At 46.3% G+C, this 20674-nt stretch overlaps 1 long non-coding RNA gene across 1 annotated transcript, besides 5 other annotated features; it reads left to right on the top strand.

Moving 5' to 3' along the window:
- Positions 21 to 781: an enhancer, noted in NCBI's record as "H3K27ac hESC enhancer chr1:225964521-225965281 (GRCh37/hg19 assembly coordinates)". NCBI's record gives its function as "activates a minimal SCP1, AML or CMV promoter by ChIP-STARR-seq in primed H9 embryonic stem cells {active_cell/tissue: H9 hESC(primed)}" and the evidence as "EXISTENCE:reporter gene assay evidence [ECO:0000049][PMID:30033119]".
- Positions 55 to 274: an enhancer, noted in NCBI's record as "active region_2628". NCBI's record gives its function as "activates an Ori minimal core promoter by ATAC-STARR-seq in GM12878 lymphoblastoid cells {active_cell/tissue: GM12878}" and the evidence as "EXISTENCE:reporter gene assay evidence [ECO:0000049][PMID:35858748]".
- Positions 8335 to 8504: an enhancer, noted in NCBI's record as "experimental_5770 CRE fragment used in MPRA reporter constructs". NCBI's record gives its function as "activates a minimal promoter by MPRAs in K562 erythroleukemia cells, with activity observed for both the introgressed and non-introgressed 1:225956883 variant alleles {active_cell/tissue: K562}" and the evidence as "EXISTENCE:reporter gene assay evidence [ECO:0000049][PMID:34662402]".
- Positions 9122 to 9293: a silencer, noted in NCBI's record as "fragment chr1:225956009-225956180 (GRCh37/hg19 assembly coordinates)". NCBI's record gives its function as "represses an EF-1alpha promoter that drives an FKBP-Casp9 reporter gene in an ReSE screen in HepG2 liver carcinoma cells {active_cell/tissue: HepG2}" and the evidence as "EXISTENCE:reporter gene assay evidence [ECO:0000049][PMID:32094911]".
- Positions 9417 to 10912: an enhancer, noted in NCBI's record as "VISTA enhancer hs2374". NCBI's record gives its function as "enhancer in: branchial arch[4/5]" and the evidence as "EXISTENCE:transgenic organism evidence [ECO:0001131][PMID:17130149]".
- LOC124904527 (uncharacterized) lies at positions 12852 to 14296 on the top strand. The gene is made up of 2 exons (XR_007066905.1): positions 12852 to 12996; positions 13720 to 14296. It is a non-coding gene; the product is annotated as an uncharacterized LOC124904527 (long non-coding RNA).
- The last annotated feature ends 6378 nt before the right edge of the window (positions 14297 to 20674 follow it).

Here is a 20674-nt window from a genome sequence, read left to right as displayed (position 1 = left end):
TCAACAAAGATTAAGCGGCTCTGCGATAGTCGCTGCATATACGAGGAAGGAGGCGACAGGGCCCAGCTGTCACACAGCTTGGTGAAGAAGCCAGGAGACATAAACACAAGAGTGCAACGGAAAACTTTATATGATAAACATTTATGTCGGGTTAGTGGAGCGCGAAGGAAGAAGGATCTCTTGTGGGTGGGGGGAGACTCACAGAAGCGGTGCAAGCTCAACAGGTAGGCAAGGAAGGGCAGAACACGTAGGCCCATTTTAGATCTGCAGTGTATGTCAGATGACTGGTGTTTAGGAGATGAGGAAGAAGCCATATTATCACTTCTGCAAGGATAAAAAATCTGATCCTCCAAGCAGGAGGATCGCTTGAGCCCGGGAGTCCGAGGCTGCAGTGAGCCATGATCGCGCTACGCACCCAGCCTGGGCTTCAGAGGAAGACGCTGGCGCAAAAGTAAATAAATAAAGAAGATGGCCTGCAGGGGACACCAGGTAAAGGGTATTATATTTTGAGATGGAAAGATTTTGTGCATGTTTATAACTTTTAGAGAAGGACACATAAGAGATAGAAAAATAAAAAATACAAGAGAAAGAAGAAAGCGAGGTCTCGGGAAATATGAAGGGGAAGACCAAAGGCCCAGATGAATAAAAACAGGTGCATTATTGCCTTTGATGGGGTGAGGAGGAGGGAAAAGTCGGGTGAGGGTATAGGTGAGCATGTAGATACGAGGGCAAGAAGGTACATTTTCTTGTCACCTAAGACAGGAGACCACCTTCGTAAATAGGAAGGGTGGTTTTGGATCTTTGAGGAAGCAAGGATGGGTTTGGATCCTTGAGGAGAAGGTTTGGAAAAGCCATTGTGAGAAATGAATAAGGAAGCCTATTAGAAAAAAACAGGTGGGAAGCGGTGGTGCACACCTGCAATCCCAGCACTCTGGGAGGCTGAGGTGGGCAGATCACTTGAAGTCAGGAGTTCAAGACCACCCTGGTCAACATCGTGAAACCCCATCTCTACTAAAAATAAAAAAATTAGTTGGGCTTGGTCGTGGGTGCCTGTAATCCCAGCTACTCTACTCGGGAGGCTGAGGTAGGAGAATCTCTTGAACCCAGGAGATGGAGGATGTAGTGAGCCAAGATCGCATATCACTGCACTCCAGCCTGGGCAACAGAGCAAGACTCTGTCTCTAAAACAACAACAACAACAACAACAAAAAAAGAAACTCAAAAGCAATATGTCAAGTAGAGTAAAAAGCTGAAACTGGAGATCATATCTGGGAATAGCCCCAATTAGGGTCTGTCTCCAGCAACACCCAGAAGCTTGGATTTTGGACTGGAAAAGACAGATATTAGGGATTTATAGGGTACATGAGGAAGAAGAACAAAGGGTCAAGAATGTTGTAGGTGGTACTGGCAAGAGAATGATTGAAATGATAAATTATGGGATCCATGCTAGATAGCTGGTAATTAATTGAGTCAAAAGAGAGAAGTTAAGGAACCAGGATTAAAGGAAATCTGAATTCAATATAGCAGGAAATAAGTTTTAGTCAGATTGGATATTGGGGTTTAACATTTTAGAGTAGCAATAGTCCCTGGTGAGGCTGGATTTATAGTTGGGTTGTCCACACAAAGTCAAAGTCTTCTATGAGTAAGAAAAGGAATAAGATGAAGGAGAAGGCTATGAGCCAGGGACCCAAATCCTCATTTAATGAGACACGTGTGTGTGTGTGTGTGTGTGTGTGTGTGTGTTGAGGGAAGCTATAAAGAGCAATGAGCAGAGGCAGAGAGGGCAGAGTTGGGCAGAATGACCCCCAGGTGTAGGGGTTTTTCCCTGAAGATGAAAACAATGGAAGTTAAGACAATGCCAACTTTGCCTTCTGTCACAAGGAACATAAGAGATCAGTTTCAATTCAATTCAGCAAAAAGTAAAACAAGTGTCCACCCTGGACAAACACCAGGAGCTGGGCTAGGCATTAGAGACCCAGCAGTGAACAAGACAGGCCCAGTCCCTGCCTCATAGAGCTCACAGTTATGGAGAGAATGACAGTAAAGAACAGATCTCCATTGTGAGGGTCCCCATCACTGTGAGTTCCAGCATCTCCAAGCTTAGCCCAGCCTCAGCCCCTACAGAGGCAGAGAAATCAAGATAAGGAAGAAGTTATGGGAATTGCCCTTGATTATGCAAATGTCCCCAGTCACACTAGGATGCATTCTTTTTTTAAAAATTTAATTTTAGGTTCGGGGGTACATGTGCATGTTTGTTACATGGGTATATTGCATACTGGTGGGCATTAGGTTTCTAGTGTACCCATCACCCAAATAGTGAGCATTGTACCCAATTGGTACCTTTTTAACCCTTTCCATCTTCCCACCCTCCCCCTTTTGGAGTCACCAGTGTCCATTATTTCCATCTTTATGTTGATGTGTACCCGTATTCGTCCATTCTCATACTGTTATAAAGAACTACCTGAGACTGGGTAATTTATGAAGAAAAGAGGTTTAATTGAACTCACAGTTCTGCAGGCTGTACAGGAGGCATGACTGGGGAGGCCTCAGGAAACTTAACAATCCTGGCAGAAGGGCCAAATCAAGTGCTTGGAAGCCAGCACTTCTTCACGTGGCAGCAGGAGAGAGAGAGAGAGAAGGGGGAAGTGCTACACAATTTTAAACAACTAGATCTTGTGAGAACTCACTCACTATCACAAGAACAGCAAGGGGGAAATCCACCCCCATGATCCAATCACCTCCCACCAGGTCCCTCCCCCAACACTGGGAATTAGAGTTCAACATGAGATTTGGGTGGGGACACAGAGCCAAGCCACATGAGTGCCCATTGTTTAGCTCCCACTTATAAGTGAGAGCATGCTGTATCTGGTTTTCTGTTTCTACGTTCGTTGACAGGATAATGGCCTTCAGCTCTATCCATGTTGCTACAAAGGACATGATTTCATTCTTTTTTTTTTTTTATGGCTGCTGGATGCATCCTTTAAACTAGGTTATTCCTTTCCTGCTGTGGCTTCTGAAAGGCTATCAGAGAGTGTCCTTTATAAATTGCTCACACATGCACAATGTCAGAAAAGGAAAAATTCCTTTCATTCCCAGTCAAGAAGATCAGGGCCTCTGTACCCTTTGTGGTTATCCTTTCTGCTTCATTTTCACACACATATCTTATTTGAGCTTTCAAACAACTCTGCCAGGGTGGTCAGTGAGCCTTATTACAATTCCAAAAATCTGAAAAGCTCTGGAAAACAAAAGTATCTTGGTAACTCCATTAGTAGAAAATGACCTGACCTCAAGTAAGGTTGCTTAGTCTTTATTTGTTTCACTTGGTGTGTTTGGTTCCAGGGTGGGGCACAGACCCTGCTGGTGGTATTATGTAATATACCACATGTGCACTGTATCACCTTTCTAGGATCCAAAAGGCTGTGAATTCTGAAATACGGGTGGCCTCAAGGATTTCGGACAAGGGATTATAGTCCTGTGCCACTCTCCTTTACAGGTGATGAAGAAACCAAACCTGAAAAATAAGTGACACTAAACAGATTGGCCCCAGACTTTGCTCCGGATTGTCCAGCAAATGGCAAAAGCCAGTGGATGTTAATCATAACCGGAAGTGACAGGATTAATTTTGATTTTTAGAAAGTGTAACTAGTAGAAATACAGAAGCTAGATCGGTAAAGCAGAGCCTGGGTGCAGGGTCAAAACCAAAAGCCCTTGCACTTTTCCTTATGTTCACCACCTCCCGCGATTGTGTTCATGTCTTTGCCTCCCATTCCTGATCCCATTTCTGATCCCATTTCCCATCCCATTTCCACTGTATCTACCCTCTCACCCCAAAGTTGCTTTCATGGGTTCACCAGCTGACTATTATATTACCCACTCCAGCAGACATCTCTCAATCCTTTGTGACTAGATTATTCAGCTGTATTTGAGGCCACTGGCCACCCTCTAATCCCGAAAACTTCCCAGACCCCTGGCTTTTTTGGCCCCATTCTTTCTCGCTCCTCTCTGACTTCTGCTCTGGCTCTGTCCTGACCTCCTCTGCCTCCCCTGGTTCTTCAGGATTGGGATCCCAAGACACCAGCCTCTGGTTTTCACCTTCTCTAGTTCTTCCTGGACAATACCCTTTGAGTTTTAACCCCAACCTCCATGCTATGAGGCTCCTGGATTCCTACTTCGTCCAGGCTTCTTCCCTGAGCTTCAGATTCATATATCCCACTGCCTACCAGGTCCACAGCTAACCCCAGAGTTGAATTGTGGAAGGTGAAAACAATTTCTCACCAAATCAAAATTTCTAAGCTGTAAATGTGATGTCTCTTTAAAAAAAAACAACCTATTTTATTATTACTGTTGGCAAATTATTAGTAACATGCATATTCAACCACCAGAATTCAGTTAACTGTGTATGGCAGACCTTTTATAGGCCAGTCATTGTGCTGGGCAAGGCAATTTACAAGCTAGTGAGGTCAGGGGCAGAGATAATAAGGCAAGTTCACAAATGCCAATAGCTGAAGCTGGAGAGCGCGTCAAAGCGAGGGAGGGAGCAGTCTAATCCCTGAGGCTTGGCAGTACCTGTGTTCACTTCCCCTCCCTTTACATCCTGTTCTGTATCTTCCCAAAGGTCTGCGGAGGCATGCAAGAGGAGGAAAGTTTGGTGGTTGTTAAGATAAAGAGGAGTGACTGTTTTTGAACTCTTTCTTTTGCTTAAGTTTTGGTGCCTCTTTGTTTTCCTCAGTTGTCTTCTAAAAACAATCAGCACTGTAGCTGCTTTAGACTAAGAACATATATAGGTCCTTAAATGGATTCTTATATTAATAATCATAGTACTAGTCCGAAGTGCTGCTGGCTTGCCAGGAATGTGTGTCATGTTTATTTTCACTTATTAAATATTTATTGACCCCGCTATATGCCAGGAGTGAAAGAAGACATTGTTCCTCTTGTACTTCCCAAGTTTCATGGATTCAATGCAAGGCAGACAGGGTAAAACAAACCTGGTAAGAGAAGCCAACCAAGAAACCGGTTTGCCCAGGAGGTTGTGTCCCAGATAGGGAGGGAAGGAAACCTGAGGGAGTCCTGACACCAACGTGGGTCTGGGGCAGCTTTGATTCAGTGTCCAGTGGAGGGCAGTGGTGTGCAGACAGTCACACAGAGACAGCCATCCCGGAGGGCTGACTCCAGCCTTTCTGGAAGGAAATGGTCGCCCATTCAGTACATCAGTACATACACCCAGCTTAGCTGAAATCATGTTGGTGGACTTGTTTACCTTTTGCTCAATCTCAACACTTCCTTTCACAAGGGCTCTCATTTGATTACCAGGAATCTCCAATCCAGTTTAATTTATTAATTCCTTACTGAGCACCTAATCCGGGCCTGTCACCCTACCAGGGGTGCTACAATGACTACAAAGATATGCACAAGAAGCTTACAAGTAATGAAAGCAGGGGAGGGTGCAGGGATTAGGCAAGTTTACAAATAATCAAAACTGAAGGCAGAAATAAGCATGGATGAAGCACCTACCATAACAGGGCACAGTACACTGGGGTTTCAGAGAGGCCTGACCATTTCCTACCCTCATAGCTGTTTGGGGAAATCAGGAAGTAAACCAATTACAAGATAGAACAATATAAAGTGTCACTGTATGAAATGCCGAAAAATGTTCTTCCTTGTGTATGTGTGGGAGCAGCCCAGAGCTGACCCCTAGGGACCCACATTCAGCACTCCCTAGGGGATTCCGATCAGAAGCCCTGGAGCAAGGATTGCAGCTGGGGTGGGGGCCGGGGCTGAGAACAGTGGGGAGGGAAGGGCAAAGAAGGCAGGGATAGAAGTCAACCTAAGAAGGTTGGGCATGGTGGCTCACACCTGTAATCCCAGCACTTGGGAGGCCTAGGTGGGTGGATCACTTGAGGCCAGGAGTTCAAGACCAGCCTGACAAACATGGTGAAACCCCGTCTCTACTAAAAATACAAAACTTAGCCAGGTGTGGTGGCGTGCACCTGTAATCCCAGCTACTCTTGGGAGGCTGAGGCACGAAAATTGCTTGAACTTGGGGGGCAGAGGTTGCAGTGAGCTGTGATCACACCACTGTATTCCAGCCTGGGTGACACAGCAAGACTCCATCTAGGAAAAAAAAAAAAAAAGAAGTCAACCTAAGAAATATAGCCCCTCCAAGGGGGCTCAAGGGACCTCTAGACCAAAGACTGTACTAGCACCCTCATGCCACCCCTACCTACTAAGGCATCCCCCAGGGACATCTCAGAGTTCCTGGAGGCTTCTGTCACTGCCCCAGTTGCACCCCACTCCAAGAATGTGATCATTTCTATACTTTGGGTAGGTAATGATCCCTTTTAGGTGAAACAGATTTCAAGCCGAACAAACACCTTCAAAAAACAACAGAGGAAAAAAAATCTTGGTTTTTTTTCCCAAGGACGTTGAGAGAAAACAGGCTCAGATGGAACCTTGGGTATCGCAAAGGCCACCCTCAATGCTGCCTCCTCTGGGGGAAGCTGGGTCAGGCCAGGTCACACCCTGTCCAACCTCAGCTGCTGGCTGTTCTAGAGACCAGAGGCCAAAGGTGGGGGCACTGAGATTCCTGAGGTTCCTGGCTTGTCAGTTTCATCTGAAACTGATTAAAATGAAATGCAAACCCATATGGCTGGGAAGAAAAGGTCAAGATTTTGCCCCCACCTCCCACCTCCTCCCATCCCCTTCCCCTCCTCCCCTCCCTCCCTAGTCCTCAGCATGCAGCTCTCTGGCTGAATCCCATCACCGCTCCAATTTCCCCTTCACCCGGGCAGCCCCGCACTGAACAGAAACTCCGCAGAATGGCCCCATTGTAGACCAGACAAACCAAAATAGCAGCATCTTCTGTTCTCCGCCTTAGAGAGATTCACTTAAAATCCCGAAGTCCCAGATGTGGACGACAATGGAAGCTGTTGTTGCAAATTAGTGATCCTGGAACAGCTGAGAGGTAGGTTGTCGGAAAGCAGCCAGTATAGTGAGTTGGGCTGTGAAGAGAGAGAGAACAATTATGCAGTCACTCCATTAACCCAATTAGCAAACAGCGGCAGGAATTCTGTTAATTGACAAAGAAGCACGGTAGGGAAGGTGGGAAAGGGGGACAGCGACCTGGGTGGGGGTGCTGCAGGGGGAAGAGGGGTGTGATGGGGCTGGGGAGGGAAGAATTGCTGCTGGGATGAAAGGGCCAGGAATAAAACTTCAGCTAGGCTGGCGTGGTGGCTCACGCCTGTATTCCCAGCACTTCGGGAGGCCGAAGCGGGCAGATTACCTGAGGTCAGGAGTTCAAGACCAGCCTGACCAACATGAAGAAACCCCCATCTCTACTAAAAATACAAAAAATTAGCCGGGTGTAGTGGCACGCACCTGTAATCCCAGCTACTCGGGAGGCTGAGGCAGGAGAATTGCTTGAACCTGGGAGGTGGAGGTTGCAGTGAGCTGAGATTGTGCCATTGCACTCCAACCTGGGCAACAAGAGCGAAACTCTGTCTCAAAACAAAAACAACAACAACAAGAAAACTTCAGCTATTTCTATGCTGGCAAAAGTTATTTTTATCATTTTTTAAACGTTCTGTTTTTTTTTTAAACCATGCCCTGGAGCATTTGGATGAACAGTGTTTGCATTAATTAATAAATCAGATGACATCTCCACTCAGCAGAGGGCTTTGGTGTAGAAAAGCTCCCAGTGGCCTGCAGAATGGTGATTGCGGAATCTTGATTGATCACAGCTGTCATGTCATCAGTCATGCAGTCCAACATGGCGCAAAGGCTCACTTGGGTTTTGTGGAGGTTGTGGGGAGGACACAACATGAATAAGGTAATGTCTGCATATACCACTAGCTATAATAAGCTGTGTTTACGATCGAGTCCCAAAATTCTGCTGAGCCTCTGCTCAGGTTCATTGGGACTGGTTAATTGGGGGTGGCAATTAGGGAAAGCTGCAGAGAGGAGCTGGATTTGGGAAATAAAGGTCAGATGATGACTGATGGAATGGTCAGGCTTTCAGATACAAGGTGGGCATGAGAAAAGGCCCAGAAGACAAGCTTTTAGGAAGCAGATGCAGCCCTTCTCCAGGGGGAAGTTGGGGGTGGGAATATGGCAGAGATGTCTGAGATGACCGTTTGAGAAAGAAGGCACTGGAGTGGGCAGTGAGGACTGGAACATGGTGTGGAAGGTCCTCCCACCTCCCTGTCTCGACTTAATTTTTTTTAGAGGCAACAGGGTTAGGGACTGGCCTAGGAGCTTAGTGTGGCACCTGGGGCTGCAAGAGCCAGCATGCTGATAACCACAGCTTTCTCGCAGTAAGTAAAGGGAGAAAAGGGTTTGAGAACTATCAGAGCTCAGCGCCCTGAGCTGGGAACTGTGGGAGGACAGATGGAGAAGATAAGCCCAGAGAGGGGGGGTGAAATCATAACCAATTAGGTGTCTGTCCTGGATCCTTCTCGACTCAGACCTGAGAGCCACTGTTCCCAGCTCCCCTGGCTTATCACTCCATTATCACTTTCTCTACCCAATTTCTCTGCTTTGCTCTTATTCTCTTCTCACCTCATCCAGCTTTCCAGCCACTGTGAGAGAGAAAAATTGTAAAACATGTAAAGCTTTTGTTTGTAGTGCACAGATGAGGTGCACTGCATCTCTTGTTTGACCAGTTGCAAGGCTGGTGTGTCTGGTTGCTCAATCTCCAGCTATTTTGCTGCCTCTTACGATTGGTGCCCTGTCGTCAGGACGCAGGGCCCGGGAGGGCAGGCACTGGCCTTTGTGACCATAATACCTCTGACAGGACCATGCAGATAGTCCTGCTCAGTGGGTATTTACTGATGACCAAGATGACAACACATGGGGAAGATACCCACCCAAGTTTTAAGAAAATATTCTTTAATTGCTGACGGATAGAATTTCTGTATCCCCAGAGATGATGTCTCAGGGCATACGTGTTGAGATCTGTGGAACTGTCTGTGCGTAGGGGTGAGGGCTGGCTTGGCTTCTGGGCCTCCTCCTGGGTATGGGTCACCAACAGCCTCATGGGCACTACCTTTCTCCTCACATTCCAGTTTGAAACCACCCAGGCCCCTGGAAGCCCCTTTCTCTGCACAAGGCTGGGATCGTGTTTGTGCATGAACTGTTGGGTATTCTATACCCGCTCTGCGCCTCATCACACAATACCTCCCTGTTCTCAAAGCACCAGCCCAAAGTCACTCCAGCTTCTCAAGTTTCATAACTGCCCAGCAAACTGCACCTGGCCCTTCTTCCCCTGGGGCTGCAAGGTTGGAGGCCGAGTGGATGGCCGCCTGGTTTTCCCCACTCCCTGCTCAGACAAGTCCAGGCCCCCCAGGTGACTGGGGTTTTGGAGACTCATTCTTGTGCAAGTCAGAGAATGCTTCTGCGACTCAGGACATCTTTCAGGAGGAAGCTACCTCTTGTTCCGTGCAGGAAGAGGCTAATCAGGTCTCAGGCTCACCTGTGGGCAGAAGTAGGCAAGCTACTTTGGAGTGCAAGGAAGTAGGGATCAGCAGTGGCATGGTGCCCTGAGAGACCCCCAGCCCCGACCTAGAGAATTCCTGACATACCTCCCAGCTACGCTCAGCTGTGAGGCACACACTGAGCTCTAGGCCAGCCCTGACCTTGGAGCTTCCACCACAAGCACAAACAAGGCCTTTAAAAAGCTTCCTAACTTCCTGGGGCGGGGGTGGTTGGGGCCAGTGTGTTGATTGCCGTTGTGTCATTTTCTGGTGTGGTTCCAGGTGGCTGGCGCCACTGCTTCTCCTCCATCCAGATGCTGAGGCCAAGGGGGCTCAAGGGGGCAAGTTGCTTTGAAGCTCCCGGCGCTGACCTCTTGTGCCCCGTCTTGGTGTTGGGAAGCCTCACAGCTGTTCTGGGCCCGCAGAGCCTTCTCCTCGTTGACTTGGGGCTTTTTGGATCAGGATGTTGGTGAAGCAGAGTTTTGGCAAGAGCCTTGGCAGCTGCTGCCAGTAAAGAGGCTGAAGGAAGATAATTAGACCTGGTAATTGGTTGCTTTTTAGCGACTGTGGCTGGGAGAAGACACTGAAAAGCTGTCCTCCAGGACCAAGGCTAAACTGTCCCCATGCTAGGGGGAAATGCTGGACCCCAGCTAGTCCTGCATGTCTCGTCACATCTTACCTGACACATCTATCTGGCTGTGAAATGATTCTTGAATCCCATCCCACCCCCACAAAGCAGTGTGGGTTTACCTCGCCTGTGTTCATGCTCTGTTACACCCAAGCCTGGAACCAGGCATCTGAAAACTTTGAAACCAGAGGTAACCTTTAGATGGAGTTACTTAACTCTAGCTGCTCCAGAAAGATTCTGTGGGGCTTACTGTGAAGGACTTCATTAAAGGCTTTTGTTTTTGGACAGAGCTGACTCATCATTTCCCCAAGATAAGTTTGCTTCTGGGCAGTTTCCAGGCTCCCATCTCTCCAGTTGGCCATTTTGCCAGACCAGATGGCTCATATTAGATCTCAATTTACAACTTGCCACCCCTTGTGGGCATGTGTTCTGGATTCGTCCCAGCCTGAGCAGCTGATTCACTCGGATGTTCTGGGAAGCCCTTACCGTTTGATTCCACTTCACCGTAGATGCCGTCCATGGGTCTGATTTCCAGTTTCTGTGTGAATCCTGCTGACCTAAACCCTGACACAGAAGTGTAGCCCTGGGAGCCTAAAGATGGACCTCGGGCGGGGTCCCCAGCAGCTCTGCATTGGGTCCTTGAGAGGGGCACTGCCTTAGGGAGGGCTGATCACTCAAAGTCTATGAAAGGATGGACTAGATTGGAATCAAGAATCTGCTTTTGTGGCTATGTAATATCTTAGAGAAAAGCAGAAGAAAGAATGGAGGACCAGTTTGAGTTCTGCGATTTTAGGTTTAAACAGGTGGCCTTTCTGCTGGCGTCCCCTCCTGACCAGTTATCCATGCATTTGTTCAGATGCATGAATAGATGGTTATTGAGCATATACTCTGTGCCAAATGTAATGCCTAGGGCTCAGGAATAAGGATCAAAGGACAGTTCTTGCCTTCAAGGGACTTACTGACTGATGTCTGAGATAGGCAGGTGCTCACAACAAAGTGAAAGTTGGTATAGTGCAGTGATCAAGAATGCAGACTCCGGAACCAGACTGGCTGGATTCATATTCCTGCTCTGCCGCTTACGAGCAGTGTACCTTTGGGCATATTTCCTAACTGCTACATGCACCAGTTTCGTCATCTAGAGAATGGGAATAATATTGATACCTACCTCAGTAGACTTCAATTACTTAGAACTGTGCCTGGGAATAGTGAGGATGGTATACACTGGGGAAATTTTTAAAGCTATAGGCCAGGCACAGTGGCTCATGCCTATAATCCCAGCACTTTAGGAGGCTGAAGCAGGAGGACTGCTTGAGCCCAGGAGTTTGAGACCAGCCTGGGCAACATAGCAAGACCCCATCTTTACAAAAAATAAAAATTAACCTGACATGGTGGCATTTGCCTGTAGTCCTAGCTATTTGGGAGGTTGAGGTGGGAGGATCGTTTAAGCCCAGGAAATAGAGGCTGCAATGAGCTGTGATTGTACCACTGGACTCCAACATGGTCAATAGCGAGAACTGTCTCAATAAAGTAAAATTGCCTTGGCGTGGTGGATCACACCTGTAATCTTAACACTTTGAGAGGCTAATGTGGGAGGATTGCTTGAGCCCAGGAGTTCGAGACCAGCCTGGGCAACATAACGAGACCCTGTCTCTACAAAAAATAAAATAATAAGCTGGGCGCAGTGGCTCATGCCTATAATCCCAGCACTTTGGGAGGCTGAGGTGGGCGGACCACGAGGTCAGGAGATCAAGACCATCCTGGCTAACACGGTGAAACCCCATCTCTACTAAAAATACAAAAAATTAGCCGGGCGTGGTGGCGGGCGTCTGTAGTCCCAGCTACTAGGGAGACTGAGGCAGGAGAATGGCGTGAACCCGGGAGGCGGAGCCTGCAGTGAGCCGAGATTGCGCCACTGCACTCCAGCCTGGGCAACAGAGCATGACTCCATCTCAAAAATAATAATAAAATAAAATAATTAGCCAGGCATGGTGGCACACACCTGTGGTCTCAGTTCTTCGGGAGGTTGAGGTGGGAGAATTGCTTGAGCCTGGCAGGTAGAGGCTGCAGTGAGCCAGGATCATGCTGTGTACTGGTCTCACAGAGTGAGACCCTGTCTCTAAAATAAAATAAAACAAAACAAAGCTACAGCTCCACAGGGAGCAAAGGACTTAAGAGGAAGGAAGGGGTCGTATAGAAATCCCAGGAATCTGGGATTCTGGCATTTATAACCAGGAAAGCTGAATTTGAGTTTAGAGTCCACTACAATATATTTATTTGATTTTGAATAATTACAACCTTGATTTGCTCCTTGGTAAGGTAGAAATAGTAATATCTTCCTTTCCAACCTCATTGGGAAAAAAGAGAGAAACCAAAATTTGTATCTATTATGTACCATATGGTTTTATTCTGAGAATTGAGAGAAATAACATATTTTAAGTGTATGTAAATTTTTTTTTTTTTGAGATGGAGTCTCACTCTGTTGCCCAGGCTGGAGTGCAGTGGCGTGATCTTGGCTCACTGCGAGCTCCACCTCCCGGGTTCACACCATTCTCCTGCCTCAGCCTCCTGAGTAGCTGGGACTGTAAGCACCTGCCACCACGCCCGGCTAATTTTTTCGTATTTTTAGTAGAGATGGGGTTTCACCGTGTTAGCTGGTATGGTCTCGATCTCCTGACCTAGTGATCCACCCGCCTCAGCCTCCTAAAATGCTGGGACTACAGGCGTGAGCCACCGTGCCCGGCCAAGTGTATGTAAATTTTAAAAATGCATTGTAAACTGTAAAGTGAACCACAGGATAATCATGATTTTCTCCCTGTTCCTCCTGTCCCCCAGGTTGAGCATGTGGATAACTGAGAGATGATGAAAAAGGCAGGCACTCTGGGCTGACTTTCATTATAAATAGTAGGTACAGCTGTGGTACTGTTTTGCCTCCATGCGATTCTCCATGTTTTCCATGTTATTTAGTTCCTGATTACTAAAGCTTTGAGGTACCAGAGGAGGCTGGTGATTTCCTTTAGAAAGAGGAACTGGGAGCAGCAAGAATCATAGTGAGATGTGCTGAGCTTTTCAGAGGAAAAGTTCATGGATGATGCATCTGACGTGATGAGCACAAACATTTCCCAGCGCAGACCCAGGTCCTTCCAGGTCTGAAGGAGCTGAGTTCCCAGCTCCTGTGAGCCTCACTGTGTCTCAGGGCTTCTGAAAGGCAGGTCCTGCATATAGTGCAAGCTTATAAATGGAAGTGAGTGAGGGGGATGGCAGGTGTGATGGGGATGCCAGCCTTGCTGTTTTCTCACAATCACAAGGAGCTTTCACTTGTCTGGGAGACTTCTTGGCAAGGTTGCAGAGCTCACCACCAAGATTAAAGGCCGGCTGGCCAGGCAATGGTAGAGGGGAGGAGGAAGTCTGCAACAGGACGAGCAGGCAGCATTTGGGCCTGTTTGGGAGACTGGCCAACAATAACGGGATTACCATCCGCTGCCCTGATATCTGCCAGGAAATTGTGAGATGAAATTTCAAGGACCCTACCACAGAGTCAGAGAGTGTGTGGGATGACTTGGCTAAAAGCAAGAATCCTTGGGGAAAAAGGTCCAGTTTCCTGGTGTTCCATTTGTCTGTTTGCAGAACGGAAGCTCTGCCAATTCCCTGGCTCTCTTCTCAGCCTCTCCCAGGCCTCTGACAACCCTAGACTCTAAGGTTGAGAAGGGAACTACCTCGGAGACTTTTATCCAACTCTCAATAAATGGAGGAAAACAGCCATGACCCTGCTTGACGACTTAACCAATCTGAGCCTCAATATTCTCAGCTCATCTTACAAGGCTCTTATGAGGAGCAGTTGAAACAATGCATGTGGAAATTCTTTGTAAAGTGCTTTAAATGGGGCCGGGGGCAGTGGCTCACGCCTGTAATCCCAGCTTTGGGAGGCCGAGGCAGGCAGATCACCTGAGGTCAGCAGTTTGAAACCAGTCTGGCCAATATGGTTAAACCCCATCTCTATTAAAACTGCAAAAATTAGCTGGCCTGTGGTGGCACAAGCCTGTAATCCCAGCTACTCAGGAGGCTGAGGCAGGAGAATCGCTTGAACCTGGGAGGTGGAGATTGCAGTGAGCCAAGATCGTGCCACTGCACTCCAGCCTGGGCCACAGAGGGAGACCATGTCTCAAAAAATAATTAAAAAAAAAAAAAAAAAAAAAAAAAAAGGCCAAGCATGGTGGGCTCACGCCTGTAATCCCAGCACTTTGGGAGGCTGAGGTGGGCGGATCACCTGAGATTAGGAGTTCAAGACCAGCCTGGCCGACATGGTGAAACCCCCATCTCTACTAAAAATACAAAAATTAGCCGGGCTTGGTGGTGCGGGCCTATAATCCCAGCTTCTCAGGAGGCTGAGGCAGGAGAATCACTTGAACTTGGGAGTCAGAGGTTGCAGTGAGCTGAGATCATGCCATTGCATTCCAGCCTGGGCTTTGTAAGAGTTTGTCTCAAAAAAAAAAAAAAAAAGGTGCTGTAAATGGAAGGAATTGCTCCAGGTATAGAATCAAAGGCCCCGAGGGTAAGAGGAGCCAGCGGAGCCTTTGGGCCTGGCTGTCCAGTTCTGCCAAGTTCTACTGAAGACAGAGAGAAGGGATCTTTCCCAAGGACCTTCTTTCTGGCTCTGTCAAATATGAGCCTCCCAGGGTCTCATTGGTGTTCTGGGTTCCTTAACAAAAAGGAGTTTGCAAAGATCACAGAGCTGACTGGTTTTCTTCTCTGGACAATGTTTACTGTGACTGCCTCTCTCTCCCGCCCCCACCACTGAACAGCATGGCAGCTTCCCAGTCCAGGGACCCGTGGGGGCCCTGTTTGCAGCAGGATTTGTGTTAATAGCACGACAGTGTCTTTACCTTTTATCTAGCAAGAGTGAGTAATCTGTTTGGGATATTTAACAAAAACCAGACATTACCTCACTGGTGTCTTATCCAGAGCTGCTCTAGTCTTCCCATTAATTCCAGCAATTCGGGGTCTTTTGCCACGTTAAGCAGTATGGGGAGAAATCCATGGACTCTTTTTCTCTGGATAAAGGGAGCCACAGAAGGCACACATTTGAAAAGCCCTATTCTAGTATTTGTATTCAGAGCTGTTCTTTTTCTCAGTAAATGTCTGTTTTCTTCATTCTGAGAACACGGTAGAGGGATTAACCTCAGCCCATCCCCCAAACCATCCTGACTTGAATCCAGTTTCTCTGGCTGCCTCTTCCCTAAAGGTTATGAAGACTTTTATGTGTGAATTTCCAGACCTCAGAGGGAAGCACCAGTGTGGTTCCTGGGAACTATCGGCAGCCGACAGACCACCTCCTCTGAGGTGGATGGCTATTTTCCAACAGAAGTGTCAGAGACAATGACTTAAGTGGTCATATGCTTTGTAAGCAGCTGCCAGTGGTATAGACTGAAGCAGGCGTCGCCTGTCTCCCAGGTGCAGAAAAGCCTTCCTGCTTCCTGAAGAAGGACCTGCTGATCAGTCAGTAGTGGAATCACCCATGGGTCATCATCACATAGGAAGGACAGCAATTGTAATCCCAGGCCAGGCAATGCAATATCTGTGTTTTGCAGCAGAAAAATTGCAGCCTCATTAAAAACTTCCAGGTATCCCAAATCACCATCTATTAGGTGATATGAAAGAATAGTTGTTAATTTTGATAGAAATCATCATGATTGGCACATAGTGACTATATAAGAAAATGTCCTTAGTTGTATAGATGCTTAATGAAGTATGTAGGAGTGAAATGACATGCAATCTGGGATTACTTTAAAATATGTTAGCAGTAATGTAAGAAAGAAAAAGAGAGCGATAAGGCAAGTATAGCAAAATCTTGTTACTTTTTGAGTCTCGGTAACAGACAATGTGGTTTCAATATATTGTTTTCTCAACTTTTGTGAGCAATTGAACATTTTCATAATTAAAAAAACTTGGCCTGGCGTGGTGACTCATGCCTGTAATCCCAGCACTTTGGGAGGCTGAGATGGGCAGATCACAAGGTCAGGAGTTCGAGAACAGCCTGGCCAACATGGTGAAACCCTGTCTCTACTAAAAATGCAAAAATTAGCTGGGCATGGCGGCGGGCACCTGTAGTCCCAGCTACTCGGGAGGCTGAGGCAGGAGAATTGCTTGAACCCAGGAGGGATTGCAGTGAGCTGAGATCGCACCACTGCACTCCAGCCTGGGCAACAGAGCAAGACTCTGTCTCAAAAAAACGAAAACAAAAAAAACCTAAAGGCACAGTAAATTGTGTTAGAAGACAAGCCATAGACTGGGAGAAGACATTTAGAACATGTGCAACTGACAAAAGATTCCTATCCAAAATACATAAAGAACTCCTATAACTCAGTAAAAGAAAAAAAAAAGAAAGAAAAGAAAAAAGACCCTCAACCTCATAGAAACTAAGGACAAAGATTACAGTAAGCAATTTCATTCCTAGAAGAAGGGACCCAAATGAGAATGTCCACACTCAGTGGTGATCAAAAAATGCAAATTAGAGGACAAGACAATAATTTATGCCTGTTGGATTAGCAAAAATTAGAAATCTGGCAATATAAGTATTCATGGAGATGTAGAGTAGAATTCATGCACTTAGAAACCAATTTGGTATTATCTGTTAGAAATGTGTATATCCAGGCCAGGTGGGGTAGCTCACACCTGTAATCCTAGCACTTTGGGAGGCCGAGGCAGGCAGGTCACTTGAGCTCAGGAGTTTGAGACCAGCCTGGGCAACAAGGCGAAATGCGGTGGCACATGCCTGTAGTTCCAGCTGCTAGGGAGCCCGAGGCGTGAGGATCACTTGAGCTGGGGGGTTGAGGCTGTAGTGACCCATGATGGCGCCACTGTACTCCAGGCTGGGTGACAGAGTGAGACCCTGGCTCAAAAGAAAGAGAAGAAATGTGGACTCTATACCCCTCAGAAACTCTTGGGCAAGTGTGCACATATGCTTGGAATATACACTTGGCTGTCCATTACAACATTGTTTATAAAAGCTAAAACTAGAAAAAATGGAGAAATATTTCACGACATATTAATGTAATGGCATACTATATAGAAGTTAAAATGAATGTACTTCACATATTCCTGTATATATACACATATATAATTGTGGATGAATTTCTAAAATATATGAATATTGAATAAAAGAAAAGTAAATTTAAAAAGAATATGGACATATATCATGTACATATTTTTTTTTTTTTTGAGACAGGGTCTCACTCTGTTGCCCAGGCTGGAGTGTAGTGGTGTGAACATAGCTCACTGCAGCCTCGACCTCCTGGGCTCAAGCCATCCTCCCACCTCAGGCTCCAGAGTAGTTGGGACCGCAGGTGGATACCCCCACATCTGGCTAATTTTTAATTTTTTTATAGAGACAGGGTCTCGCCATGTTGCCCAGTCTTGTCTCGAACTCCTGGGCTCAAGCAATCTTCCTGCCTTGGCCTGCCAAAGTGCTAGGATTATAGGCGTGAGCCACTGCACCAAGCCCATACCTAATTTACACCTAGCATAATATTTTGGCTCTCTCTATGTCATAAGAGTACAAAAATAATTAGAAGGGTCACAGAGCAATAGAAGGATAGTACATATCTGTAGTGAAGGAGAGAAGGGAATGGAGATGGCCTCAATTGTATCTGTAATGTTTGTTGTTCCTTTAGGAAAAAAATATAAAAAAGAATCTGAAGCAAATATATCAAAAGAATGACATTGGAATATCTGGGTGGTAGGCATGGAGTGTTATATATTATTGTTCTCTGTACTATTCTGCATATGTGAAATATTTTGTAATTAAAAATTTTGTTCTTAATTGAGGTCCTAAAGTTTCTTCTTGCTAAATCTCATCTTTTTTTTTTTTTTTTTCTTTGCAACGGAGTCTTGCTCTGTGGCCCAGGCTGGAGTGCAGTAGCGTGATCTCAGCTCACTGCAACCTCTGCCTCCTGGGTTCAAGTAATTCTTCTGCCTCAGCCTCCCAAGTAGCTGGAATAACAGGCTCATGCCACCACACCTGGCTAATTTTTGTATTTTTGGTAGACATGGGGTTCCACCACATTAGTCAGGGTGGTCTCGAACTCTTGATCTCAGGTGATCTGCCTGCCTCGGCCTCCCAAAGTGCTAGGATTACAGGCATGAGCCACTGCACCTGGCCTGTTCTTTTTTTGTTTTAGAGGTGGGGTTTTGCTATGTTGCTCGGGCTAGAGGGCAATGACTATTCACGGGCGTGATCATTATGCAGTGCAACCTCAAACTTCTGGGCTCACATCATCTTCTCACTTCACCCTCCCTAGTAGCTGGGAACAGCAGGTGTGCACCACCATACCAGGCTAAATCTCATCTTTTTTCATGACTTTAGAACCCCTCGGCTCAAGTTCACCTCTATGAAAATGGTTCCTAAATCTGATTTTCTATCCTTTTTTTCCCAGCATCATTTCTGTATCTCCACCCACTTAATGGCTATGTCTTCTATTTTGTCAAATTTATCATCTAAGTTGATTATCTCTAACACTGCTATCTCAAAACAGCTCTTTTTTTTAATTTTCTGTTTCTTGGCCAGGAGCCACGGCAACATGTCTGTATTCCCAGCACTTTGGGAGGCTGAGGAGGGCAGGCAACTTGAGGCCAGGAGTTTGAGACCAGCCTGGCCAACATGATGAAACCCCATATCTACTAAAAATACAAAAATTAGCCAGGTGTGGTGGCGCATGCCTCTAGCCCCAGCTACTTGGGAGGCTGAGACTGGAGAGGCTGAGGCTCACTTGAGCCCAGGAGGTGCAGGCTGCAGTGAGCAGAGATCACGCCACTGCACTCCAGCCTGGGTGATGGGGCCAGACTCTGTCTCAAGGAAAAAAAAAATTCTATTTCTGTCAATAGCACACTCAATAAATGGTAGTTTTTATTTTCATTAGTCCCTTCAACTTTTGCCTCTTCTCACTGAGTTCACTATATACAGAACTGCCAATTTATCTTCTGGAAATTCTGGTTTTCATTTTTTTCTGAAATGCTGTTGTGTTTTTTTTTTCCCCTGAAATACTGTTTTGCATCAATTATTCCCACGCTTGAAAAACTTTTGGTGGCCCACTGCCAGCATAAGATGGTCCAAAATCCTTAACCATTTGTGTACAACCTCAAAGTCTGGCCCAGCTTTGTTGCCCACTGTCCGCTGTCACTAAAGAGGCAGTCATCACCGCCCCCTCAGGCTGCTTGTTTTCCTGTCTTCTTGCATTTGTTCCATCCCGAGATGCTTTTGCCTTCCCACCCTTCACACTCAGGTCAAATCTCTTCTGCGTGAAACCTTTGCCCAGACCACTGCTGGAAGCATTTCCATGGCACCGTCCATGTGCTGCTGCAGGTGTGGACTACGGCACCTCTCCCTGTAACCTCGCCCTGATTCCTCTCCATTGATAATGAGCTGAAAGATTCAGCAGACCCAGGAAGCAGAGGTGTGACGAATAGACACGGTTACCCATAAAGTATCTCATACATCTGCACACTAAACCCATCTCACCCTTTGCTTTGCTTTGCTTTGCTTTTCTCTTTTCTTTTCTTTTTCCTCCTCTCCTCTCCCATGCCCTCCCCTCCCCTCCCCTCTTCTCCTCTCTTCTCTCCTCTCCTCTCCTTTCCTTTCTCTTTTCCTCTTTTATTTTTTTTTTTTTTTGAGACAGTCTTGCTTTGTCACCCAGGCTGGAGTGCAGTGGCACAAACATGGCTCACTACAGCCTTAACTTCCTGGGCTCAAGAGATCCTCCTGCGTCACCCTCCTGTGTAGCTGGGACCACAGGCGCATGCCACCACACCTGGCTAATTTTTTTATTTTTTGTAGATACTGGGTCTCCCTTTGTTGCCCAGGCTGGTTTCGAACTCCTGGGCTCAATGATCCTCCCGCCTTGGCCTCCCAAAGTGCTGGGAGTACAGGCATGAGCCACCGCATCTAGCCCCTTGCTTTTCTTTCTCCTAATTTTCTTCTGTGATATCAGCTCTAAAGGAGGCTGCCTTACATCAGACTTGGAGAGACATAGGGTGGTGTTCTCTGATTTATGGCAAGAACTTGAGGAAAATGAGATTCCTTTCAGCATAATTTTGATAAATTCTAAGGTGTGCATTTTTCCCACTTTAATATCTCTGAAATCAGGGTGTATCTTACAACCAATGAAGCTTTGTTTCTCTTGATGGAATACAAAAGTAAAAAGTACCACTTATATTGGTGCTATCTTAAATTCGATAAAATAAGGTATATAGGAAAGTATTTAAAATGTATATAAATGCAAATAAACAGCTTTTATTATTTGATGTGAATATTAAATATCAGTGTTAAACATTAGATTTTGAAACATTGTTCTAGGGTGGCATAAGAACATAGTTCCAGGACAACATTCTAGCACATTCCCTTGTAAAATCAGCACTGTGTATATCTCTTCTCTATTCTGCCATATTTTGTAAGACGTTAGAAGTCAGAGACCCAGGGAAAGATACCTCTTGATATTCTCTACAAAAAGAGCAATAAAGAGCAGTCAGGAAGCCCTGCAAGTGAAATAATGAGCAAAACGTTTGTATGAAAAAAGGAACTGGGCCAGGC

This window comes from Homo sapiens, chromosome 1, assembly GCF_000001405.40.
Source record: "Homo sapiens chromosome 1, GRCh38.p14 Primary Assembly".
In the NCBI taxonomy this organism is placed as follows: Eukaryota; Metazoa; Chordata; class Mammalia; order Primates; family Hominidae; genus Homo; species Homo sapiens.
Note: the sequence above shows the minus strand (reverse complement) of the source record. Positions and strands in the feature narration are given on the sequence as shown.